Source organism: Homo sapiens, chromosome 2 (assembly GCF_000001405.40).
Source record: "Homo sapiens chromosome 2, GRCh38.p14 Primary Assembly".
Lineage (NCBI taxonomy): Eukaryota > Metazoa > Chordata > Mammalia > Primates > Hominidae > Homo > Homo sapiens.
In genome coordinates this window covers 27715973-27740742 of record NC_000002.12, presented here as the reverse complement: position 1 = coordinate 27740742, position 24770 = coordinate 27715973, and the positions used below count along the sequence as shown (strand labels likewise).

Here is a 24770-nt window from a genome sequence, read left to right as displayed (position 1 = left end):
TAGTTGCTTATTTGCTTCATCCTACCTATGTATAATAGTTTCAGAATAATAGTATCTATAATATTACTAACAATATGATTACCAAAGAGAGTTTATTTTTGCAGGGTGTTTTGCTATTGTTCCCTACATAGAGTATATCTCTCAATAGTCCTACTGTTAAATACTATATTTTAGAGTCTCCTGAAATAATTCTGTGAGTTTTGCCATGAAACTGATACATAGTTGTTATCATTTGTCTTTTTTTAAGAAGTGCTTTCTCCGGCCGGGCGTGGTGGCTCACGCCTGTAATCCCAGCACTTTGGGAGGCCAAGGCAGGCGGATCACGAAGTCAGGAGATCGAGACCATCCTGGCTAACACGGTGAAACCCCGTGTCTACTAAAAATACAAAAAATTAGCCAGGCATGGTGGCAGGCATCTGTAGTCCCAGCTACTCAGGAAGCTGAGGCAGGAGAATGGTGTGAACCTGGGAGGCAGAGCTTGCAGTGAGCCGAGATCACGCCACTGCACTCCAGCCTGGGTGACAGAACAAGACTCCATCTCAAAAAAAAAAAAAAGTGCTTTCCCATTTTAATTTTGTTTTATAACTATGTATAATATTTACATTCCAAAATCAAATCTAGCAAGTTGTCTATTCAGAGAAGCCTAGCTTCTATTTCTGACCCGTCTGCCCAGTCTCTCCCTCTCTCAAAGGGAATATTTTTATTTGTTTATTTTTGGTTTATTTTATTTTTTATGAGGATTTTTTCTTTTTTGTTTCCCAAGACTTTTTTTGACATATAATTGACAAATAAAAATTGTATGTGTTTAAGGTATACAATGTGATGATTTGATAAATGTATACATTATGAAATGATTACCACAATCAAATTAACATGTTACTTCATATCATTGTCATTTTTGTGTTGTGACAAAAGCATTTAAGATCTACTCTCTTAGCAAATTTTAAATATATAACACAGTGATATTAACTGTAGTCACCATGCTGTACATTAGATCTCCAGAACTTTTTCATCTTATAACTGAAAGTTTGCACCCTTTGACAAACATCTCTCTCTTTCTACCCCATTTTATTAATTTATTTACTTTTGATGTAATGATTTATTTTTCTGCCTTTTTTTTTTTTTTTTTGAAATGGAGTCTTGCTCTGTCGCCCAGGCTGGAGTGCAGTGGCGTGATCTCGGCTCACTGCAAGCTCCACCTCCTGGGTTCACGCCATTCTCCTGCATCAGTCTCCTGAGTAGCTGGGACTACAAGCGCCCACCACCATGCCCAGCTAATTTTTCGTATTTTTTAGTAGAGACGGGGTTTCATCGTGTTGGCCAGGATGGTCTCGATCTCCTGACCTAGTGATCCACCTGCCTCAGCCTCCCAAAGTGCTGGGATTACAGGCGTGAACCACCGCACCTGGTCATATTTTTCTGCATTTTAATATATAAGCAAACACACGCACACACAGATGAATACTTGTCTTTCTTAAACAGTAGCATACAATACATATTTTTTCCTTCCTACTTTTCCATCTTAACTATATATCCTGGAAATCACTCCATAACAGCACGTAAAGATGGCCCTCATTATTTTTCACAACTGCATAGTACTCCATTGTGAGGATATACCATAACTGATTCAACTAGTCCCCTAGTGATGGGCAGAATAAAATAGAATTTAAGGTAAAAGGCATTACAAGGGTCAAAGTGGGATGGACATTCCATACTGATAAAATCAACAATTCATTAAGAAGATATAATAACTGGGAAATTCAATATAGTTAAAAGCACAGACTTGAAATAGAAGAAGCAGATCAGAGAGAGCCCTCTGGCCTCAGGTGTTTTCTTTCTCCCTCTAGACTGAGTTCCTGAAAGGCCAGGATTGCAGCGGTTTTTTACCCCTGCCCCACTAGGGCCTACCACATGCCTGGCATGGAGACAGCCCCAATAAATGTTGATTAAATAATGCATAGGTGCCAGAGGTCAGAATCATACAAGCTTTATGCTACTGGGAAAGAACAGAAGCCCAAAGATGGTCAAGAAGCAAGCGAGTATCAGCTGGAGATAGGCTCCCTAAACTTCTGGCCTTTCAGCCAGGACTCTGACCTCATGGACCCATAATGAGCTGTCAAAAGCAAACAAAACTGACCACATTCGTCACACATAAAAAGCAGGTGATCCCTGGGAGTTCACTGAGGAAAACAGTACGAATAGGGGGCTGCTTGGAGTTCTTCATCCGAAGCGTCGGTCAGACCAGAGCTGGCGGCCGGAGCATGTCGGGTGGTGGGAGATAACTGTGCCACTGGCTCTTCCCTCCTGGGCTTCCACTTGATACGCCACACTCAGCTTGTGTTCAGGTGACCGTGCTAAGGGGTCTAGGCTTTTCATCCCTCTCCACGTTGCCCTGCAGAGTGAAAGCTGGCTTTTGGCGCAGAATGCTCCATCATGGGATGGGGAGAAGGGAGGGAAAAAAAAGAGGGTGCTGGGGAGAGAGAGGACAGTGCAGAAGGGCAGGGGGATAACAGATGAGGCTAAATTAATTTTGGAAACCATTAAATCTTTGAAAAGAGAGCGTGTTTTCAGCAGGGACAGTGAATCACTGTGATTTGCAGAAACAGGCACAAAGCAATTAGCCATCTGGATGCTGTGGCTTCCAGCCCCCCAGCGGAAACTTGAAGCAAGCGGAAGGCTGGTCATTACACAGCCCAGGCCCAGCACTCCAGGCCCCACAGATAACTCTGTGCCTCCAGCCGGCTGGGAGCCCAGAGGCCTAGGACAAAGGGCAACTTGGCAAGAGATACAAAAAAAAAATGGGCAGGAAAGGCAACACCAGCCACAGGGGGCCGGTACAACTTCCTTCTTCCTATAAGCGTCCTTCAGAATTCATCATGACCAAGTGAGTAGTTCACTCACTTGATAAGCATTTATTAATCACCTACTATCTCCCAGGACTTGTGCTAGTACATAAATGATGTCATTTCATCCTCACAACATGCATATGAGGAGTTCTGCCCATTGCACAATCCCAAGAGGACCCATCACATGGCATTCAATGTGAATAGCACTCCCAGGAGTTAGAAAGCAGAGTAGCTTTGCCTGAAAATACCTTAAAAAGAGAGTATTATCTTGTTTTTTCTTCAATGAGGAAATCAAAACAGAAAAAGAGGAAAGGAATTTGCTCAAGGTAAGTTTGCAAATTGCTCCTCTGTACAGCTCTAAAGTTGTGTGAACCAAAGGAATACACAAGAGTGTGAAAAGGTTTTATAAACTGTAGAGTACCATATACAGCTGAACTACTCTTAGAAGGCAGTTACCTTAGCTTCCTCCGACCCTCTGTGACCGTAAGGTACTGCCCTTTGATTCATTTCTAGAAATTGCTAGAAGTATTGGACAAGCCCAATCAGGAAAAGGGTTAGCAAACCTTTCCAGGAGGAGAACGCACAACTGAGCAGAAAGAGCTGTGCTCAGGGAAGCCTGACTGTAATGTACTGTGATTTATGCACTAAGAAAATCTTGACACTATTCTCCATCAATTGCCCCCATGTGGGCGCAAGAAAGCCATATGGAGCAAAACACTGGCAGAGGGAGCCCACTTCCAGCAAAGAGAGAGAAGCAACGAAGAAAGAGCACCCCTTAATTGACTAGAGGCCAACACCCCCACACAGAGGTGCCCATGTCCTTTCGCCTGCCTGAGTTTACTGTGGGACCATGGACCGAACCTTCTTGCTCCACACTTCGGTGGCACCACTCCAGAGCCTCAGCCAAGAGCTGTGTAGCCCAGCTCAGGACTCTGTGGTGGCCTAGAAAGCCCCAGACTACGATGGCCAAGGGCTTTCCATTTGCTGTCTACATCTGCCGTCCACCCAGCTGCTGCTGAAGACACCGGATCTCCCACAAGGAAACAGTACAGCAGAGTGAAGAGAGCATCATCCAGGGAGCAGATAACCTGGGGGAGAATCCCAGCCCTACCTCTCTCTGGCTGTGACCTTGGGCGAGGTGGTTGACCTCTCACCTTGCTTTCTTTCTGTACAAAATGGAATCGGGTTCCTGACCTCACAGGGTATGGTGAGGATTGAGTGAGCTCACAGGTGCCCTTGGGGAAGAGGCAAGTAATGGAGCTAGTGCAGAAAGTTTAAACAATAAGAAGGGGTGTGTGGCCACTGCCAGGTCCAGGGAAGGTTCCTGATTCAGTCCTGGCTGCCACAGGAATGCAAGCTTGGTGTTGGCAGATCCTTTTATTTGTCAAGAAAAATCAGATATCTGGATTTTTATGTGAACTTTTCCAATTTTCAAAAGCCTGTGAGGACAGAACAACGCATATCTGCAGACTGTCAGGGTGCAAACTCGGATGACTATGACATTCCTGCAGCGCTCTTGGCCTGGTCCCTGCCTGGTGCCTTCCTCCTCTCCCCATTCTACCTCTTCCTGGCTAGCTCCCTAAGGCCCTGCCTTTCCCCCTGGTGTCTGTCGCCCTCATTGTAAAGTGGGCAGAGGCCAGCTCAGTCCTGGGGTGGCCAGAATTCAAGGCCCTGGGGCTGAGGGAGGGCAGGTCGGGTGGCACTATGAGGACAGGTGTTCTCAGCAGAAGCAGGTTAGGTACAGGACTGTTACCTGGAAGCCCTACTGAGCCTCTTCCCCAACAGGGAGGGGGAAAGGTGGGGAGCAGGCAGATACCTGCAGCCACAAAATGAATGAACGAATGAACAACGAACAGCCCAACCACCGCTGCCTCAGGTGGAAGTTGGCAGCTGTGCGGTAGGATGGCAGATTATCTGGGGCTCTTCTCAATCAATAATGTTGAGGGAGCACCCAGAAAAGTCTTCTTGCAAAAGTTGGTGGGGCCTTTGGTAGGCCCAGCCCAGCAAACCGGCTCAGGGCCAGGACCCAGTGAAGCCAGCCGCCTCCCGGCGCCCAATCTCCATCTTGGGCCTCGGATTAGAATCAGCCGCCCCCGCCCCGCGCCTTCCCGAGAGCCCCGCCGGGGCTGCCGGAAGCGGGGGTGCAGGGCGCGGGCATGGGGGTGTGCCCTTGCATCAAGGCCCTTCCCAGAAGGGGCAGCGCCTTCCCAGCACCGGCCTGCTGGTCTCCCCCGCGCCCGCCCTTCCCGGATATCCCGGCGACGCGCTGCAGCCTTTCCCGGGCGGCTCGGGTTGGCGAGGTCCGGGAGCCCTCGGTGCCGCGATGGGAAGTGCTTGCCCACGGCCCGGCCTGGGGACACACTCCCGCGCCCTCCAGGCCCCTGAGCTGTTCCTGGGAAAGGGCGTGAACGAAGCTCCCGCACAACCCCTTTCTTTCTCTTGGCACTTCCCAGTAAACCCTCCAGGTGTCCAGGTGGGGCACTTTCCACTGCCGGGCTCAGCCCTGGGTCTGGGTCTGCGGCCCGTCCCTTCGCTGCAGAGCGCGGTGCAATCGCGGTGGGGTTGGAAGGGGTCAGGGCTCCTGCCGAGCCAAGTCTCCTCCTCTGCCTGGGCAGCTACACGACTGGACCTCAGTGCCCACTACATGGACAAGCCTTGAAACTCATCCATCCAAACATCAGATAAACCTAAACTGAGAGACATTTCACAAAACTACACAAAGATGAAGAAGGGCTGAGGAACTGCACCAGACCGAAGGAAAGGAAAGAGACAGAACAACTAGATGCAGTGCGTGATCCCAGCTTGCATCTTGGATGGGGGGGAAATTGCTGTTAAGGACATAATTGGCAAAATTTGCATGTGGATTATATAACAGTAATATTGTATCAATGTTAAATTTCCTGAATTGGATCATTGAAACGTGGTTATGAAAAAGAATGTCCTTGGTTTGGCTTCTCTGAAGTATTTAGGGATAAAGGGACATGTCTGCAACTTCACCTCAAAATGGTTCAGAAATAAAATATAAGTACATTATTATTCCCCAAACAATTAAGCATATGGCTATTGTATGGCCCAGAAATTCCGCTCCTAGGTGTATGTCCCAGAGAAATGAAACATATGTCCACACAAAAACTTGTACGGGAATGTTCATAGCAGCATTAATCATAATAGTCAAAATACAGAAACAACCCCATGTCCATCAAGTGATGAATGGATAGCCACAATGAGATACATCCATATATTAGACTGTAATAAAGCCATAAAAATGAATGAAGGGCTGATACATGCTACAAATGGACGAATCTTGAAAACATTATGCTAAGTGAAAAAAGTGAGTCACTAAAGACTACAGATTATATGACTGTGTTTATATGCAATGTCCAGAATAGACATTGTAGTCTATTCTGTCTATATAGAGACTACATATTATAGTCTATAAAGACAGAGAGTAGGTTAGTGGTTGCTTAGGGCTGAGGTGAATTGGGTTTAGGGAGGTGATAGCTAAAAGAGGTACAGGGTTTTGTTTTTTGGTTTGTTTTTCTTTTTTTGAGATAGGGTCTCACTCTGTCACCCAGGCTGGAGTGCAGTGGTGCAATCATGGCTCACTGCAGCCTCAACCTCCTGGGATCCTCCTGCCTCAGCCTCCCCAGGAGATGGGACCAAAGGCACATGCCACCACACCTGGCTAATTTATTTTTTATAAAGATAGGGTCTTGCCTTGTTGCCCAGGCTGGTCTCGAACTCCTGGGCTCAAGCAATTCCCCCCCACCTTGGCCCCCCAAGGTGCTGGGATGATTACAGGTATAAGCCACCACGCCTGGCCCAGAGTTTCTTTTTTAGGTGATGAAAATATTCTAAAATTTGCTGTGTGGTAATGGTTGCATATATGGTATATGACTTGTATCTCAACAAAGCTGTTATAATAATAATAATAATAATATGTATTTATGTAGACAGACAAAAAGAGAAAGTGATTGATAAAGCAAATGTGGCAAAACATTAATGACTATTGAAACTGGGGAAAGGATATTCAGAAATTAATTGTACTATTCTTGTATCTGTCCTGAGTGATATGGTTTGTCCCCAACCAAATCTCATCTTGAATTGTAGTTCCCATAATCCCCACATATCATGGGAGAGACCCAGTGGGAGGCAATTTAATCATGGGGGCAGTTACCCTCATGCTGTTCTCATGATAGTGAGTGAGTTCTCACGAGATCTGATGGTTTTATAAGGGGCTTTTCCCCCTTTTGGTTGGCACTTCTCCTTGCTGCCGCCATGTGAAGAAGGACGTGTTTGCTTCCCCTTCTGCCATGATTATAAGTTTCCTGAGGCCTCCCCAGCCATGCTGAACTGTGAGTCAATTAAACCTCTTTCCTTTATAAATTTCCTACTCTCAGGTATGTCTTCATTAGAAGCATGAGAATGGACTAATATACTGAGACTGAAATTACTTCAAAATTTTAAAAGTTTATTATTTTATTTATTTTTTGAGATGGAATCTTACTCTATTACCCAGGCTGGAGTGCAGCGGTGAGATCTCAGCTCACTGCCACCTCTGCCTCCTGGGTTCAAGTGATTCTCTTGCCTCAGCCTCCTGAATATCTGAGATTACAGGCATGCACCATGACACCTGGCTATTTTTTTTTTTTTTTTTTTTTTTTTTTTTGAGATGAAGTCTCACTCTTGTTCCCCAGGCTGGAGTGTAATGGCATGATCTCGGCTCACAGCAACCTCCGCCTCCCTGGTTCAAGCGATTCTCCTGCCTCAGCCTCCCGAGTAGCTGGGATTACAGGTGCCCACCACCATGCCCGGCTAATTTTTATATTTTTAGTAGAGACGGGGTTTCACCATGTTGGCCAGGCTGGTCTCGAACTCCTGACCTCAGGTGATCCGCCCATCTCGGCCTCCCAAAGTGCTGGGATTACAGGCGTGAGCCTCCGTACCTGGCCTAAAAGTTGATTTTTTAAAAAGAGAGAAATTTACCTATCTACCCACCTTCCATCTAGAGGCTGGTCATGGAAAGGTTGCAGTACAGGTTCAGAAGCATGACAATCTGGACTCCAAGCTTAACTCCACTGTTTTCTAAATTGCATTACCTTGAGTGAGTTACCTGACCGCCCTAGGCCTCAGTTTCCTAGTCTGTAAAATGGTAATGACACCAATAGTACCTACGACAGAGAACTTACAGAGGATTAGAGATGGTACATATGAAGCTGTTAAATTTTTTCATGTGGTAAGTACTCAATAAATGTTAGCTATTATTGTTCATTTGAAGCAATTTTAAGGCTGGGAGCAGTGGCTCATGCCTGTAATCCCAGTGCTTTGGGAGACTGAAGCAGGAGGATCACTGGAGGCCAGGAGTTCAAGACTGGCCTGGGCAACAAAGTGAGACACTCCCCCATCTCTACAAAAAAATTGAAAAATTAGCCAGGCATGGTGGTGTGTGCCTTTAGCCTCAGCTACACAGGAGTATCTCTTGAGCCCAGGGGTTTGAGGCTACAGTGAGTGAGTTATGATCATATGACTGCACTCCAGCCTGGGTGACAGAGTGAGACCCTGTTAAAAAACAAACAAACAAAAACAACAACAACAAAAACAACACACACACACAAACACAATTTTAAAATAATTTGTCATTTCCTTTCTTATTACAAAAGTAATACTTTTTTTTTTGAGACAGAGTCTCGCTCTGTTGCCAGGCTGGAGTGCAATGGTGTGATCTCAGCTCACTGCAACCTCTGCCTCCCGGGTTCAGGTGATTCTCCTGCCTCAGCCTCCCGAGTAGCTGAGACTACAGGCACACACCACGACGCCCAGCTAATTTGTATATTTTTAGTAGAGATGGGGTTTCACCAGGTTGACCAGGATGGTCTCGATCTCCTGACCTCATGATCTGCCTGCCGTGGCTTCCCAAAGTGCTGGGATTATAGGCATAAGCCACCGTGCCTGGCCCTACAAAAGTAATATATGTTCATTATGGAAATTTTGGAAAATGCAGATATACAAACAAGGAAATAAAAATCACTGTACCCCCAAATTCTGTGAAAATTGCTGTTAACACTTTGGCATATATCCTTCTGGGCTGTGATATATTTACAGTATATGTAATATAATTTTTAGCATATTGTATATATTATTTTATAACTTGCTTTGTGCACTGTACATGACAGACATTTACTATTTACCACATCAGGTGCTCAGCTTAGTGCTAAGGGTTCTGACATGAATAGGACAGTCACCTAGCTCTTGGGAGTGAGTGAAACCTAGAAGTAGGAGAGACTTATTAGACAATAATTACAGGAGACAATTTGATAGAAACCACTTTGATAAAAAGAAGGGCTTGCTCAACTCAGCCTTGAGATGTTGAAATGGCTTTTCAGAGGTTGTCAGTGGGTAAAGAGATGTTTCAGACAGAGAAATGGGCAAGTCCTACCTGGGCAGAGGAAACACTGTGCAGACCAGCTGGGGCATGTTTATGGCCTGTTTCAGTAAGTGGATCATAGCAGGAGGCAGGATGGAATAGCAGCGTAGCTAGGACCAGATCCTAAGGGGCCTTAAATGGCATGCCAATATTTCTGAGTACTGTGCAGTCTTCAAGGGTTACAACAGATCACGAACCTTCCAGTGCTTCCTCTCATAACACAGTATTTAGATTCCCAGACTTTGGAGCCAGATCGGCTGAGTTCAAACCCTGTCTGTGCAACTATCAGCTGTTCAGCTGTGTGACCTTGGGCAAGTTACTTAACCTCTCTGAACCCTGATTCCTCCTGCAAACGGTGGGAAAAATAATAGAACCAATCTCTCTGGGTTGCTGTAAGGATTAAATTAATTTACAGTGCATGTAACATGCTTACAGCAATGTCTGGCACACAGTAAGCACTAAGTATTTGTTGTTATTTGTCATCTACCATCACCTCAACTATCTCTTCTAGCAGCTGAATCTTCTGTAATTTAACCCCAAGGAAGTTTAAGAGCAAGGTGGGCTGCCTAGATCCCTGGTTTGCAGGAGCGGGTTGTTTGTCAGAGCTGGAGCTGGGGAGCTTCCAGCCAAACCCTGAGACTTGGGGAGGGGTCAAGAAAGGAGCCTGCTTACCAACCACTTCTGGGGAGACCCTAACTAACATCCCGTCCCTCCTCCCCACTGTCAGGAAGGCATCCTCAGGGCTGGGACCGGGCCCATACAGCTGCCTTCTCTCTTGAGGAGAAAGCTGTGATGGAAACCCTTTTCTCTAGGGAGGAAATGGGCAGGGAATGACATTTGTGTCCCCACCAGTATGCAAATCACCTTATGAGACAAATGATTTTGCAGGAAAACACATCCTGTTTCCTCTAGAACATTTCCCTTGATGTCTGGGGGGAACTGGTTGGAATGGTCAAGGTCACAGCAAGTGTTCAGAAAGCTCCTGACCACTGTCCCCTGTCCCGGAGAAACCAGGGAGTGGTAGAGAAGGGACTAGGCTTGGCAGTCCTAGGCTTGGCAGCTGACAAGGAAACTGGCCCTGGGCACACAAGCTCCCTCGCCAGGTTTTCCCAGATGACAAGGGTGCAGGGAGGCCTGGTGGAGCAGCGTCTGGGGAGCCAGGGGTCCTGGCTTCTAGGGCTAGCTCAGCCCCTCACAGGGAGGCCTGGTGGAGCAGCATCTGGGGAGCCAGGGGTCCTGGCTTCTAGGACTAGCTCAGCTCCTCACCCACAGCATGACCTTCGACAAGTCATTTCCCTCTGTAGACCTGAGTTTCCTTATCTGTAATATGAGAGGGTTAAATGAAATCAAGTGTTTGTAACTTGGGGTACACAGATCCTTAAATCATCGATGGGCTTCAGGGGATTGCTGCCACCCCTCAAGTGTATGCAAATATACAATTGTGCATGTGTATATTTTTCTGCAGAGGTGTGCAAAACTGTCATCAGTTCACAGAGGGATCTATTATCCAGACAAAAGTTTAGGTGGTCTCTGGGCTCCCTTGAGCTGGGTGCTGGGCTGATGGAAGTTTCTCAAGGCCAAGGATATGCCTTTAACACCAGCGAGGCATAGTTCTGGCACACTGTAGAGCCTCAATGTTTGTTGAATGAATGATGTAGAGGCTCAATGTTTGTTGAATGAATGAATGACACTCATCAAATGCTGGGTCATGAGCACAGCAAAGGGCGGAGATGGATATTGGCGCAGGGTCTCAGCTGTGGGAGTGAAGTGGGACAGCGAGAGGGCTAGTAAGGGGTCAGGGTTTGGAGAGAACAGGAGAGGTGTCTAAGAATGTAACCTGAATCTGCTCAGTCCAGGGGCTGTCTGGTTTGGGTTTCTAGTCACTACCAGGCGTGCACACCTCTCATTCCCCTTTGTTCTTTATAGAAGACTCGGCTAAGCCAAACCCAGCCCCAGGTTCAGCAACTAAATTGGTTTGGTTGCAGCAATTAAAATTCTCAAGCTTCTCCAACCAGAAAATCCATCGAACTTGAAGAATGTAGCCTGGTCTCCAGGGGTCACTGGAACTGGTATGGAAGTGAAAGTAAAAGCAGGGGTCAGCCTGTCTGCCTGCCAAGGATACCTCCAGCCCTAATGGGCCCCTACACCCTTCATTCAGGCGCTGCCCCCACTTGGACTTTTGGCTGAACTCTGTCACCCTCTAGTACCTTTGAGCTTTTCCTGTCCACTCATACCTTCTTCTTGGCCTACACATATGCACTGGTTTCTACACTGGTCTCTCTTGTCCTTAAAATGCCTTCACCAGTTTTTTTATGATCTGGGAAAACGCTTGTGATTTGATGATTAGGATACACACACACACACTCACACACACACATGCACAATTGTGTATCTATAGTAGTCTCAACCCCAAAATATAAAACATGTAGAAATTCATATACACAAGCATAATGTTTTGATGTTTGCGCTGTCTTAAGACCATTCTGTTTCTCCCCTTCTGTTACAAAGGAAATGTGCTCAGATGAAAGGGATTCTGAGAACTCAATAGCAGAGGAGGCACAGAGGCTGAGGGCATCTGTATGGCAGGCGAGACACCCAGGGAGGATAATTGCATGGTCCAAGACCCAGAGGCCCCTGGGCAGGTACAGGCCTGGCTAAAGGAAGCTCATGTAGTTCCCTGGAAAGGCCAAGCTTGGGAAAAATGGTTTCAGCTGGTCAGGCCCTTTGAGGTAGGACCTCAGCCCATTGGAAGGAGTAGGGGGATGGGGTGGGTACACGACCCAGCAGAATCCATTCCCTTGGAGAGGGGTAGCAAGGGCTGGGGCCAGGCCTGGGGTTGATGACTGAGCTCACTCTGCCTGGAGAACTGGGGCAGACCAGCTTTCCCCCAGGCAGAGGCCAGTACAGGGGAGGAGGATGAGAGACTGTAGGGATTCCCAGTTAGTCTCCCCAGGCCTCACCTCAGCAGGCTAGATACAGTCGGGGAAGTCAAGCATGGGGGAAATGCCTCCTCTCATTTCTCAAGGGAGAACTGGAAGCTGTTTCCCCCTTTGCACTTTTCAGTCTGGCTTCCAGCCTCATCTGTTTTCTGGAACCATTCTCTTTCCAGAGCCCCAGAGGCCTCCATCCAATAGCACTTGTGTTAACACTGCCAGTGCCCACTTCCTGGAACCCTCTGCATCCTTGGCCTTCCTGGCCTCAAGTTCCCTGTTGTTCTTCCCCTCGGGTCACCCCTTCTTCCTTTACTGTGCCCTTTACAAGCCCTTCCTTCCCTGCTGTGGGAACCCCCAATGCTCAGGCCTTGGGATTCTGCTCTTCCTTCTCTACGGTGGGCTCCCTTAGAAAAATTAGCTCTCTCTGGGTTTCAACTGATGCTTCCACAACAACGACATAATGGATAGTAGAGAGACATGGTCACTGGGGAATAGATTTTTTTAAAAATAATATCCTCCACTTTGGGAGGCCGTAGGCAGATCACCTGAGTTCAGGAGTTCGAGACCAGCCTGGACAACATGGCAAAACCACATCTCTATTAAAAATACAAAAATTAGCCAGGCATGGTGGCATACGCCTCCCAGCTACTCAGGAGGCTGAGGCAGGAGAATTGCTTGAACCCAGGAAGCAGAGGCTGCAGTGAGCTGAGATCATGCCACTGCACTCCAGCCTGTGCAACAGAGCAAGACTCTGTCTCAAAATAATAATAATGATAATAATAATAATAATATCCTCACTTTGCAGAGAGGAAAGGATTCAGATGAGTTAGGAGACCCACCCAAGGGTCACTCACCTTAGGCAACTCGCCCTTTTTACCACCTTCTCTTCCGTCGTGGCCCCATCCCCACAGCGACCTATGAGGCTGTAACACACAGAAGGAAGCCCCACTTAATCAAAAGTAACTGGGCCAACTCCTCCTGCCCAACCCCATGCCATGGCCAGATCATTGTCAAGCTGTCCCAGGCGTGCGTCATGGTCACTCCCTGATCTGACTTGAACATTGGCCTTGGGAGGAAAACGGAGCTGTCAGTCTGACTTCCTCTTCCTTTCTCCCCTCTGCCTCTGCTGAGAGCATTGAGGGAGGAGTCATAGTTCTCTTCATAGTCATAGTTTCCAGAATAAGGCATTTCCATAGGCAGCCGGGTGCGGTGGCTCACGCCTGTAGTCCTAGCACTTTGGGAGGCAGAGGCAGGCAGATCACCTGAGGTCAGGAGTTCCAGACCAGCCTGGCCAACATGGCGAAACCTTGTCTCTACTAAAAATACAAAAATTAGCCAGGCATGGTGGGGCATGCCTGTAATCCCAGCTACTCGGGAGGCTGAGGCAGGAGAATCACTTGAACCCAGGAAGCTGAGGTGGCAGTGAGCTGAGATTGTGCCATCGCACTCCAGCCTGGGCAACAGAGCGAGACTCCATCTCAAAAAACAAAAACAAAAACAAAAACAAAAAAATCATAGGCTATAGTAGTGCTGTTGCCATTTGACTAGTGTCTATTACACTGAGCATCTACTATATACCCAGAACTTTCCTGGGTTCTAGGGATATAGCAATGAGCAGAACAAATTCTTTTTTTTTTTTTCTTTGAGGTAGAGTCTCACTCTGTCACCTAGGCTGGAGTACAGTGGTGCAATCTCAGCTCACTGCAACCTCTACTTCCCAGGTTCAAGTGATTTTCGTGCCTCAGCCACCCAAGTAGCTGGGATTATAGCCATGCGCCACCACACACAGCTAATTTTTTTGTATTTTTTAGTAGAGATGGGGTTCGCCATGTTGGCTAGGCTGGTCTCAAACTCCTGGCCTTAAATGATCCACCCACCTCAGCCTCCCAAATTGCTGGGATTGCAAGCATGAGCCATCGCACCTGGCGCAGAACAAATTTTTATCCTATATATTGTAACAGAACTGTATTGAACGAAGTATTTCAGCCTTGGATGACACATACTTAAACCCATGAAGATGATAAAGCCCACTATCGAGAAGACTTATTGTTTTGTCTGCCCAGAACAGCACCTCCCTTCTTTGGGGGAAATCCTCCTTCACCAATTCAGCTGTAATTATGGAAGGAGCTGCCAATTATTGTGCCAATTATTGTGTATTGCTCCAGTGTTCACAGGAATGAGTGTGAAACCCAGGTTGGGCCAGTCACTGAACCCTAGGAGCCCCTTGGCCACAGTGATTGGTCTAGGAAGAGTCATATGGTCTGGGTTGAACAAATCAGAATGCCTTTCCTTCCATAGCTTTTTCCTTTAAAAGTTTTAAAATTAATTTTAAATACATAAATTATACCTGAATACGTTATCACTGAAAAAGTTTAAACCTGACAGTCTCCTTCAATCTCAACACCTAATCTTAGCTTCACCAGAGATAACCAAGGTAATTTAGTGAATCTAGACCTTTTCTATGCATTTTCATATATTTAGAAATATGTTATAAACATATATAAATATATATTATTATTTCAAGGTTTTGTTTTGGTTTTGGTTTATGCTTGAGTGATACCATATTGTATCTATATACTGCAAATTACATTTTTCATTTACCAAGATGTCTTAGGGGTTTATGTCAGTACATACTTCATTCTTTTTAATAGTTTCCAGGTTTTCAGAGTATAAAATATATCATGGTTTAAAGATGGACACTTATGTTATTCCTAATTTTGCATTACAAATAATTCTTCACATAACACCCTGGCCTGTGTTTCCTTGTGCACATACATGAGAGTTACTGGTCTGGATTTTGAGACATGGCATCATGAGATCCATGGTAACCACATTTCAAATTATAATAGATACTGCCAAATTTCCCTCCAAAGGGACTGGGACAATTTATGTTCCCTCCAATAGTGTATCACAGCATTAGGGTCTCCATTTTCCATTCCTTCATCAGTACTGGAAAAGAACAAAGTGTAACATTTTTGAACTGTGACGACTGCACACTGGTATGCTGCTGTTTGCTGTCCTCTAGCCGGAGCTGGTGTGAAAGAGTGCTTTCCTCTCTGGCCATGGGGCTGTGAGGATGGGCACACAGAGCCTCACAGCCTTGAGAGCAGGTGGATAAATCAACATCCTGAGGGGAGGGGACGTCCCAAGGATGTCCACTCCTTGAAGCCATTTGTTTTATCCCTGTCTCCACAGTAGTTTATGTAAGCCAACACCTTCATCTTTGGGGCTCAAGCTAATTAGAATTTTGTTTCTGTTACTTTCAGCCACAAGACTGAACTCATGATTAAAATGTATAAATGACCATTGTTTCTCTCATCCCTGGCCCTGAGATCACAAAGTTTATGCTGATTATTCTCTCTTATTGTTCTATTTCTCCTCTCCTCCTCATTCCTTACTTTCCTCATGCCCACATTCCTCTCCCCAGGCACCATATTCAGGGGGTTCAGATCACCTGTGGGGTCCTTTTCAGAAAGGGCAGAGGAGAGCAGGAAACAAAGCCCCTGGGAACAGGAGACGGGAGGGGCATGGGCCTGATTCCCCTGTGGAATCTTTCCCGAGTGAACACAGGCACTCTTAGTTTCTGTGCCTAGGCCTTAGGCCAATGTCTCTGTTTTAACAGAAAAAAAAAAAAGAAAGAAAAAGGAAAAGAGTAAAAAAGCAAAAACTAAAAGACACAGTGGAAGAATCTGCCCTCCCTTTTTGTTTTGAATTATCATACCCCCCAGCACTGAGTGAAAACTCATTTTGTTAAAAATTGACATAGCAGTTGCAGCTTCTTAGACACAGACACAACATAAACACATAAACACAGGCTGTGAGTGTTCTTTTGATGGTAGTATGTGTTTATTGTTTTATTTTATTAATAAAAGAGTGAGAACAGGGTACTAAATTATACCCAATCCAAAATAAAAGGAGAGCAGCTCAATATTTACTCCCATAATGACACCAGGTCACCCATCTGTAGGACGCTGGGGCCTGGTTCAGAGCAAGATGCTGTCTCCAGTTGCCATGACCCGAGGTGCTAGAGAGTTCTGAGTGTAACCCTTCTCAGATATGAGCTCATCTCACCCTGGAATAATTCTGAGAAGTAGGAATGGCATAGGGACAACATCCCCATTTCAGAAAGGAGGGGCCCTGGGGAAAGAGGCTGTGTCCTTCAGGGCCAAACAGTGACACAGGAATGGGACAAAAGCCTCCCCTCCCAAGACTAAATGTCTGTGAGAAAACTGCTGGAGAAAGGCTAGCCAGGCAGGGAGCCTGGGTGCAGGAGGTGGAGGGAGGGCGGTGAGCCCCCAGCTTGGCTGCATGTCAGGAGAGCTGGGAGAAGGGTCATGTACCCTGACATTCACAGAGGGGGTGGCACAAGAGAAGCAACTGCAGCCTCTCATTATGACCCAGTAAATCTTCAGTAAAACCCTCTGCCCTGCCATGTTTGGTGGGGAAAAACCGTTTTCTGGAAGCTGCTAAGGGGGCTGAATTTTGCATTACATTGCCTGGGGTCAAAAGAATCAACTCACAAATGAGCTGACTCACAAGCGAGTTGTCTATGAGACACCTGTATGCACATATTTGCTTTATTCACTGCTGTATCCCTGATGTCTACAACAGTGTCTGGCACACAGTGGATGCTCAGAAAATATTTGTGGAATAAACACATAGAACTCTTTACATCTGCAGTCTCTGCCACACCCACCTCTGTGTCTCCCTTCTCCAAAGTCTGGCTTAACATTCACAGAGACTCTGGTGTGGCTGACCCACTCTGTGCCCAGCACTAAAGCCTTGGTTCCCTCCGGGGAACTGAGAGGTCCCTGAGCTTCTGGAGCCGCCTTCTCGGTTATTGCAGGTTTCCTCCCCACCCAGAGTATGTGCAGCGCCCTGACCTGCTGCCCCAGCAGGTTCTCATCAGGACTCCACAGCCCACTCCATGTGTGGGCCGGAGTAGAGAGAGGAAGCTCTCCCAGCGCCACAGTGGGAGCTGCCAGCCTTGTCTTTTGCCTGTGGCCAGGGCAGGACTGTGGACTTTTCATCCCAGTTCTTCAAGCAAAGCTTCAGGCTCGCCCCCTACTGTGAAAGTGGAGGAACTTCATCTGGAGCACAACTCCCGGGCTCCTTGGAGTTCAGCATCCTTGATCACTTTTCTCTGAGCTAGGGTTGAAGCCCCAACGTTCACATGGGTTAGGATATGTGACTACGAGCAAAGCTTCACCTCTCTCAGCCTCAGTTCACTCATCATAAAGGGGGTAGGAAACAGCTGAAAACGCCATCCCTGTTCACCTGACAACAATATGGTGAGGATTAAATAAGGGCAGATGGCCGGACGTGGTGGCTCACAACTGTAATCTCAGCACTTTGGGAGGCAGAGGCGGGCAGATCACTTGAGGTCAGGAGTTCAAGACCAGCCTGGTCAACAGGGTGAAACCCTGCCTCTACCAAAATACAAAAATTAGCCAGGCGTGGTGGCGGACACCTGTAATCCCAGCTACTTGGGAGGCTGAGGCAGGAGAATCACTTGAACCTGGGATGCAGAGGTTGAAGGGGGCTAAGATCATGCCACTGCACTCCAGTCTGGGCAACAGAGTGAGACTCCATCTCCAAAATAATAATAATAATAATAATAAAACAAAAATTAGCTGGGCACGGTGGCTCAGACCTGTAATCCCAGCACTTTGAGAGGCTGAGGTGGGTAGATCACTTGAGACCAGGAGTTCAAGACCAGCCTGGCCAACATGGTGAAGCCCTATCTCTACTAAAAATACAAAAATTAGCCGGGCATGGTGGTGCACACCTGTAATCCCAGCTATTTGGGAGGCTGAGGCAGGAGAATCATTTGAACCCAGGAAGTGGAGGTTGCAGTGAGCTGAGATCATGCCACTGCACTCCAGCCTGGGTGACAGAGTGAGACTCCTTCTCAAAACAACAGCAACAACAAGAAAAAACTACAAATGAGGGCAGACATGTGACAGTTTCTTGCCTTTGTCAGGCTCTGCAAAGCTGTGGGGCTACTGTTTCCTAACAGTAGGCCACTGAACAAACAACAAATATCCACACCTTCGTTGCCTAGACCCAAGGCAGAGCAGGTGCCTTTTCCTCCATACCCCTTAGCCCAGGCTGCCCTGGGTAAGCTCTTGCTGACTGAGGGCTGCAGGCTCCTGGGCTATCTAAAGGGCCTGGACATGACACCCTGGCAGATGCTGCTGGCTAGAGAAGGGGAGCCCTGGTCCCCTCCATTCTTGGGTCACATGATCAGAGGCAGCAGCTATTCACCTGTCCAGGTGGGGAGCCATTGGCATGTGGAAGGCCATAGAAACTCAGGTTAGACGTCTGCTGGGCTGAGACAGAAGCTGGAAGGCCATCAGGGACAGAGCTTGTCTCCCCACACAACCCTGAGCCCCACACAAGGACCCAGGGCAAGTGTGGGGTAAGAGGCTGTTTCTCACTGTGGTCTCAGACAAAGGAAAATCCCCAAGGCCCTGGTGTGCAGGAGTAGTGAGGCACCCCTTGTGGGTTGCCAAATTTAGCAAATAAAAATACAAGACAGACATGCCACTTAGATGTGAATTTCAGATAAGCATCAAGTACTTTTAAAATATAAATATGTCCCATGGAATATTTGAGATATACTTATACCAAACATTATTTGTAATTTATCTGAAATTCAAGTTTAACTGGACATCTCATATTTTATCTGGAAACCCTCCAGACCCTCCAGGGCCAAAAGGGCTCGGGGGACCCAGCCCCTTCCCACAGCCCACAGCCACACCCCACTGGAGGTTCTGGGCACTCTCGCAAGAGGACGCTTCCTGCTCCAGGTGGTGCCAGGTGGTGACCCCAGCAGCCCAGCATGGGTGGAAAGAGGAAAGGGAACGCGGCAGAGGGAAAAGCCAGCAGTCCCCTTAGATTTCACCCTTGAGTGTCTGTGAGGTGAGTCACCTGTCACCTTCACAGGGCCTTGTCCGCATCAAAGGAGGTCATGGTGGCGAAGTGCTTTCACATTACAAATGCCCTTCCCGCGGGGTGTTGTGGCAGGGCCTGCACTGGCCTTTGCTCGGCTCTTAAGGGTTGGCATCCCTGGTGACCCTCCCTTTTCCCTGAGTCATCTCACCCACTGCCTGGCTCCAGTCACATCTATAAGTGGATGGCAACCCACTTAGCACTCCGTCCTCCTTTACAGTAGAATAAATATACACCACTTCTTCAGGGGAAACAGCCTCAGACCCCTATTTTCATGTGCCTACTGGACACCCTCCCAGGAGTCTTTCTGTCCCTGTCCCACCCCCTCTACCACTGCCCACAGGCGGACTCTGCCAGCTCTTCTCTGAATAACAGAGGCAGCCCCCAGCTTGCCCTGCCCCAGTTCCCTGCCCACATCACACCCAGGGGTGGGTTTCTAAAATCCAGTCTGACCATGGCGTTCCACTGCATAAGACCCTTCCATGGCTTCCTCTTGGTCTTGGGATAAAGTCAAAAGACCTTATCTGTCTTCTGCTCTCATACAGACATATTTCTTGTCATGTCACCAACTGGCCAGTGCTGTCCCTATTCTCCAGCCCACTGTCCCACTAAATGCCCCCAGCCCACTGTTCCACTGTCCCTGCCCAGCCTGCCCTTCCCAACATTCCGTGTCCCCTCAATGCCCTTCACTTCCTTTCCTTTACTAGTGAAAGGATTAGTGGAGCTCCAACGTCCATCCCTGAAGAATGGGGATATTCGCCTTCCTACCAGGCTTCCTAGGGTCTGGGAGAGAATCAAATGAGAAAGGGGATGTAAAACTATTTTGTAAACTGAAAAAGGTTTGTAAGAGATGAAGAAGAATAAAATGACCAATGGTCTGGGAGAGCCTTGTAAACTTCCTTATCAGCTGACCTCAGAGGCCCACAAGAAGCACAGGGGACAACCATGTGAGGGGACTGGGGAAACTGTGGCATTTGAGCCGGGAAGCGTGATTGGGGGGTAATGCTTTGGGTTGGGATGGAGAGCGTCATTCATTACTGGAGCAGCCATAACCTACTTGTGAAGTCTGTGTCTGCACGAGAACCCCTAGGGAGACAGGGGTAGTGACAAGGGGGTGCAGGATGGTGGGGCTTCGGCCCCTTCCTTCCAGCTTAGCCAGGTGAGTCATCCGGAGGTACCGGCCCAAATCTCACCTCCTCCACTTGAGGCTGAGCAGAAATGGTCCAGAGGATGTGCCCAGAGGATGGAGACAGCAATACAGTGAATGAGTCATAGAGCTGAGTCAGAGCCCACTCAGCCCCTTTCAGGGCTCTGACGAAGGCTGTGCCAGCACAGCGGCGTTCTTCCAGCCTTGCCCCTTCCCTGCACACACAAACACACACATACACACACACACACACACACACACCTACAGACCAGTGACCTCACAACATGCTTCTGATTGCTAGCCTTACTTACTTCACAGGTTCAGTGAAATCCTACTGAGTCTCCCATGTAACAGGCTTTCTTTATGCTCACACTCACTCATTCATTCATTCATTCATTCACTGTTCAGGTACTGGAATAAAAACCCAGTCCTTGCCTTCAAAGAGCTCTCCAGCCAGCAAAGGAAACACAGTCTCCAACCATGCCTTGTCACTGCAGAGGGAGCAAGGCATGGCCATGGGAGAGCCTCACACACCATCAGTATCCGGGCTGATAGAGGAGGGAATGAGGGACACAACCCCTCATAGTGGGATGGGTCAAGAAATCACTGCTGTAAACATCTGGTCCCAGGACTCCCAAGCCTGGTACCCTCTACTTCCCACTGGAAACATCAAGCCTAAAGGTGCATCTACACAGATTCAGACAACATTGTTTCCTTTTTCTTCCAATTAATGTGGCTACTTTGACATATGTAGGAATAGCCTAAGCTAATGGTCACAGAACAGGTTCCGGTCTGATCTGTTTTCAATGTGAAGACTGAATTTTGGCTTTGAATCAGCAGCAGAGCCACCGGATTATATACGAAAATTTGCAATATCAAAACTGGGATAACTTCGAAGTTATCTAATTCCAGGCTCAGTGCTTCGTTTCTTAGGAGTAGAAACTCAAATCCAGAGAGGAAAAATGAAGCAGAGTCTTCTGATAATTTCCATCTGTTTTCTAGTCCTTAAGTAAATATAATTTTTACTACAAAAATAAACCACATTAGAGGCCGGGTATGGTGGCTCACACCTGTAATCCCAGCACTTTGGGAGGCCGAGTGGGCAGATCATGAGGTCAGGAGTTCGAGACCAGCCTGGCCAAGATGGTGAACTCCTGTCTCTACTAAAGATACAAAAAATTAGCTGGGTGTGGTTGCGGGTGCCTGTAATCCCAGCTACTCGGGAGGCTGAGGCAGGAGAATCACTTGAACCTGGAAGGCGGAGGTTGCAGTGAGCCGAGATCGCACCACTGCACTCCAGCCTGGGCGACAGAGTGAGACTCTGTCCCAAAAATAAAAATAAATAAATAAATAAATAAACAAACAAGTAAACAAATAAACAAACCACATTGGAGAATAAAAAAGAAAAACAGCCGGGTGCTATGGCTCATGCCTGTAATCCCAGCACTTTGGGAGGCCAAGGCAGGCGGATCACCTGAGGTCAGGAGTTCAAGACCAGACTGGCCAACATGGTGAAACCCCATCTCTACTAAAAATACAAAAATTAGCTGGGCGTGGTGGCATGCACCTGTAGTCCAAGCTACTCAGGAGGCTGAGGCAGCTGAATCTCTTAAACCCAGGAGGTGGAGGTTGCAGTGAGCTGATATTGCACCAATGCACTCCAGTCTGGGTGACAGAGCAAGACTCTGTCTCAGAAAAAAAAAAAAAAAAAAGAAAAACCACATTAATCTCAATATACTAACATAACCATTGATATCATTTTGCTACTATTCCTTTACAAATTCTGTTCACACAGCTGTAATCATACAATATATATAATTTTGTATATTACTTTTTAAATTTGACTTTATGTTCTAAGAACTTCCACCACATTTTTGCACTTTGTAACCATCATTTTAATCACTATATAATATTCCAGCAAGGAAATGTTCTTAATTTTTTTCATGACTTACTTAACCATTTCCTTATTGGAGGACATTTAAGCGATGCCCCAAATATGGCTATCATAATGCTAAATATTGCTGTTTTCATTTATTTATTTCCCTGGGGTAGAGAGACTTCCATAAATGGAATTGCTATGAAGTAAAAGGTGGGAACATTTTAAAGTCTCTTGGTACATGTTAACAAATTGCCTTAAGACTGTACTAATTAAGCTGAGTACAGTGGCTCACGCCTGTAATCCCAGCACTTTGGGAGGCCAAGGTGGGCAGATCGCTTGAGATCAGGAGTTTGAGACCATCCTGGCCAACATGGTGAAACCCTGTCTCTATTAAAAATACAAAAATTAGGTGACATGTGCCTGTAATCCCAGCTACTCGGGAGGCTGAGGCAGGAGAATTGCTTGAACCCAGGACGGGGAGGTTGCAGTGAGTCAAGATCACGCCACTGCGGTCCAACCTGGGCAACAGTATATGATGGCTTTAAATAGAACAATAACTTCTCCATTTCAACATGTGACCAAAATGTTTATACCTTCTGACCCACCAATTCCATCGCTAGAATTCTGGAAATAATCATCAGGTGTGCCCTGCCATGTCAGGATATCCACTGAAGAATATGATGGTATGATATCAGGTATCTTAAAATGTACATATGTATTAAAGTCTATGAAGAGGGGGCTTATCAGAGAAAGACTTCTATATTTTACTATATATACTTCTGTGTTGTTTTCATCTTTCACAATGAACACCTATTACTTTTATAGTTTGCCAAATGACAAAGATATTTCCATTTTGGAGACAAACACAGAAACCAGCACACCAATTTTCGTTTGCAGTGAACATGCTGGTTAAGTGCATCAGAATCTCAGCTCTAAACCTTACATGACCCTGAGTTTTCTGTCAAATGCTGATGATATCAATGTCATAGGGTTATTATGTCACTTAAGTGAAATAATTCCTGGAAAATACTTAGCACAAAGCCTTGCATTTAGTAAGTATTCATGAATATTAGCTATATTATTATTTTATTCTGACATTTCTTTTAGTCTGTGGAGGCCTCTACTCCCCTACTCACAATCTCAGCCACTATTTCCTACTGCTTATCCCAATAACAAGTGGCCTTTCCAAGCCTGCGTGATGCCACATCAGCCACACACCTCTCCTTATGATTCTGTTTGGCAAGTCATAAGCTGTTAGCCCCAGGGCAACACAGAGGCAGGAGGCAGGAGGGAAGGAGTGCAGCACATATGTGCGTGGGCAGGGCCCTGGAGCACGAACCAATGCGATGAGGACGCACAGCACTGGGAACCGGCAAAAATGAGCGAGACGGTTTTCAGGAGAGCAACAGCTGGCAGGGGAAACACCCAGAGAAGTAAAAATATCAGATTTTTAAAAACTGAAAATCTCCAAGCACCTGTAATGCTTCATGCTTACTTTCAGAAAAAAACAAAAACAAACAAACAACAAAGACGAAACTCACTTTTTAGAAAGAAAAGCCGGGTGGAAGAGCACTAAGCTGAGAGGCACTGGCTGGTTAGGGGTAAGAGCCGGGACGCTGCAGTTCGGGTCTGGGTCTGGATTCTGGCTTTTCCACACGCTGGCTCTGTGAACACTGCCAAGCTGATTCATCTTTTGTGTCTCAGTTTTGTCATCTATAATATGGGGATAATAACAGTGCCTAGCTTACGGAGCTGTGAGGCTTGAAGGAGCTAATATGCACATATACACGCTCTGTAAGGGCCGCCCCTTATCATTTAAGTACATGCCTGTTTGCCCTTGACGGGGCTGTGTAGCAGAGCGCCCAGCTGGACGAATCTCCCAGCCAGTTGGGGAGCCCCTCTGAGGGTCATTCCTGCGGATGTGGCCGTCGGGAGGACCAGCCCGTTTGCAGACCAAGCTTTTGCTTCCTCTCATCCCTCCTGAGGAAGACCCTGGGAAAGGAATGCTCTTCCTGCGGGCCCTTCCTCAGACACCAGGCAAACGGGTGAAGGTGCAGAGGTCGGCGGTGAGGAGGGGCCCCTGCGGTCTGCCAGGGTGAGGCTGACCTCCAGGGCTGCAGCTGCTCGGGGGGCCTTTGGCCGGGTTGCCCAGGAAGGCAATGAGGGCTCCCAGGCAGCTTACTGTGCGGGGCCGACCCCAGCAGAGGAGCAGGGCCTGGTCAGGGGCTGGAATGGGAGAAAACAGAGGGGCCCTTGGGGAGGAAAGGGCCCCAGGAGGGAGGCAGTAGGGTAAGTAGGGGGCTGTGAGGAGGCGGGGGCAGGAGGCTGTAGGGGAGGTAGGAGACTAAAGGCGGGGGGAGGGGGGCTGAGGAGAAAGAGGGCCTACAAGGAGGGGGAAAGGAGAGGTGGGATGTGGGGAAGAGGAGGAAGGAGGACTGAGGGCAGGGGGTGGGGACACGGAAGGGGTGTAGGAGGAAAGGGGGTGAAGGTGAGATAAAGGGGAGGGGAGGAAGGGAAGGGGGCAGGGAGGGAGCAGAGAGGGGTGGAAGGGGCAGGAGCCCAGGTATGTGGGGCGTGGGCAGGGGGA

The 24770-nt window shown here is 47.3% G+C and overlaps 1 long non-coding RNA gene across 1 annotated transcript, besides 3 other annotated features; it reads right to left on the bottom strand.

The window, feature by feature from the left end:
• Positions 1-1455: 1455 nt before the first annotated feature.
• On the bottom strand, positions 1456-24620 carry LOC105374378 (uncharacterized). The gene is made up of 3 exons (NR_160725.1): positions 24011-24620; positions 23725-23896; positions 1456-2470 (listed from the first exon to the last, which is right to left on the bottom strand). It is a non-coding gene; the product is annotated as an uncharacterized LOC105374378 (long non-coding RNA).
• Positions 4908-5077: a silencer, noted in NCBI's record as "silent region_11305". NCBI's record gives its function as "represses an Ori minimal core promoter by ATAC-STARR-seq in GM12878 lymphoblastoid cells {active_cell/tissue: GM12878}" and the evidence as "EXISTENCE:reporter gene assay evidence [ECO:0000049][PMID:35858748]".
• Positions 23693-24206: an enhancer, noted in NCBI's record as "H3K4me1 hESC enhancer chr2:27939404-27939917 (GRCh37/hg19 assembly coordinates)". NCBI's record gives its function as "activates a minimal SCP1, AML or CMV promoter by ChIP-STARR-seq in primed H9 embryonic stem cells {active_cell/tissue: H9 hESC(primed)}" and the evidence as "EXISTENCE:reporter gene assay evidence [ECO:0000049][PMID:30033119]".
• Positions 24207-24721: an enhancer, noted in NCBI's record as "H3K4me1 hESC enhancer chr2:27938889-27939403 (GRCh37/hg19 assembly coordinates)". NCBI's record gives its function as "activates a minimal SCP1, AML or CMV promoter by ChIP-STARR-seq in primed H9 embryonic stem cells {active_cell/tissue: H9 hESC(primed)}" and the evidence as "EXISTENCE:reporter gene assay evidence [ECO:0000049][PMID:30033119]".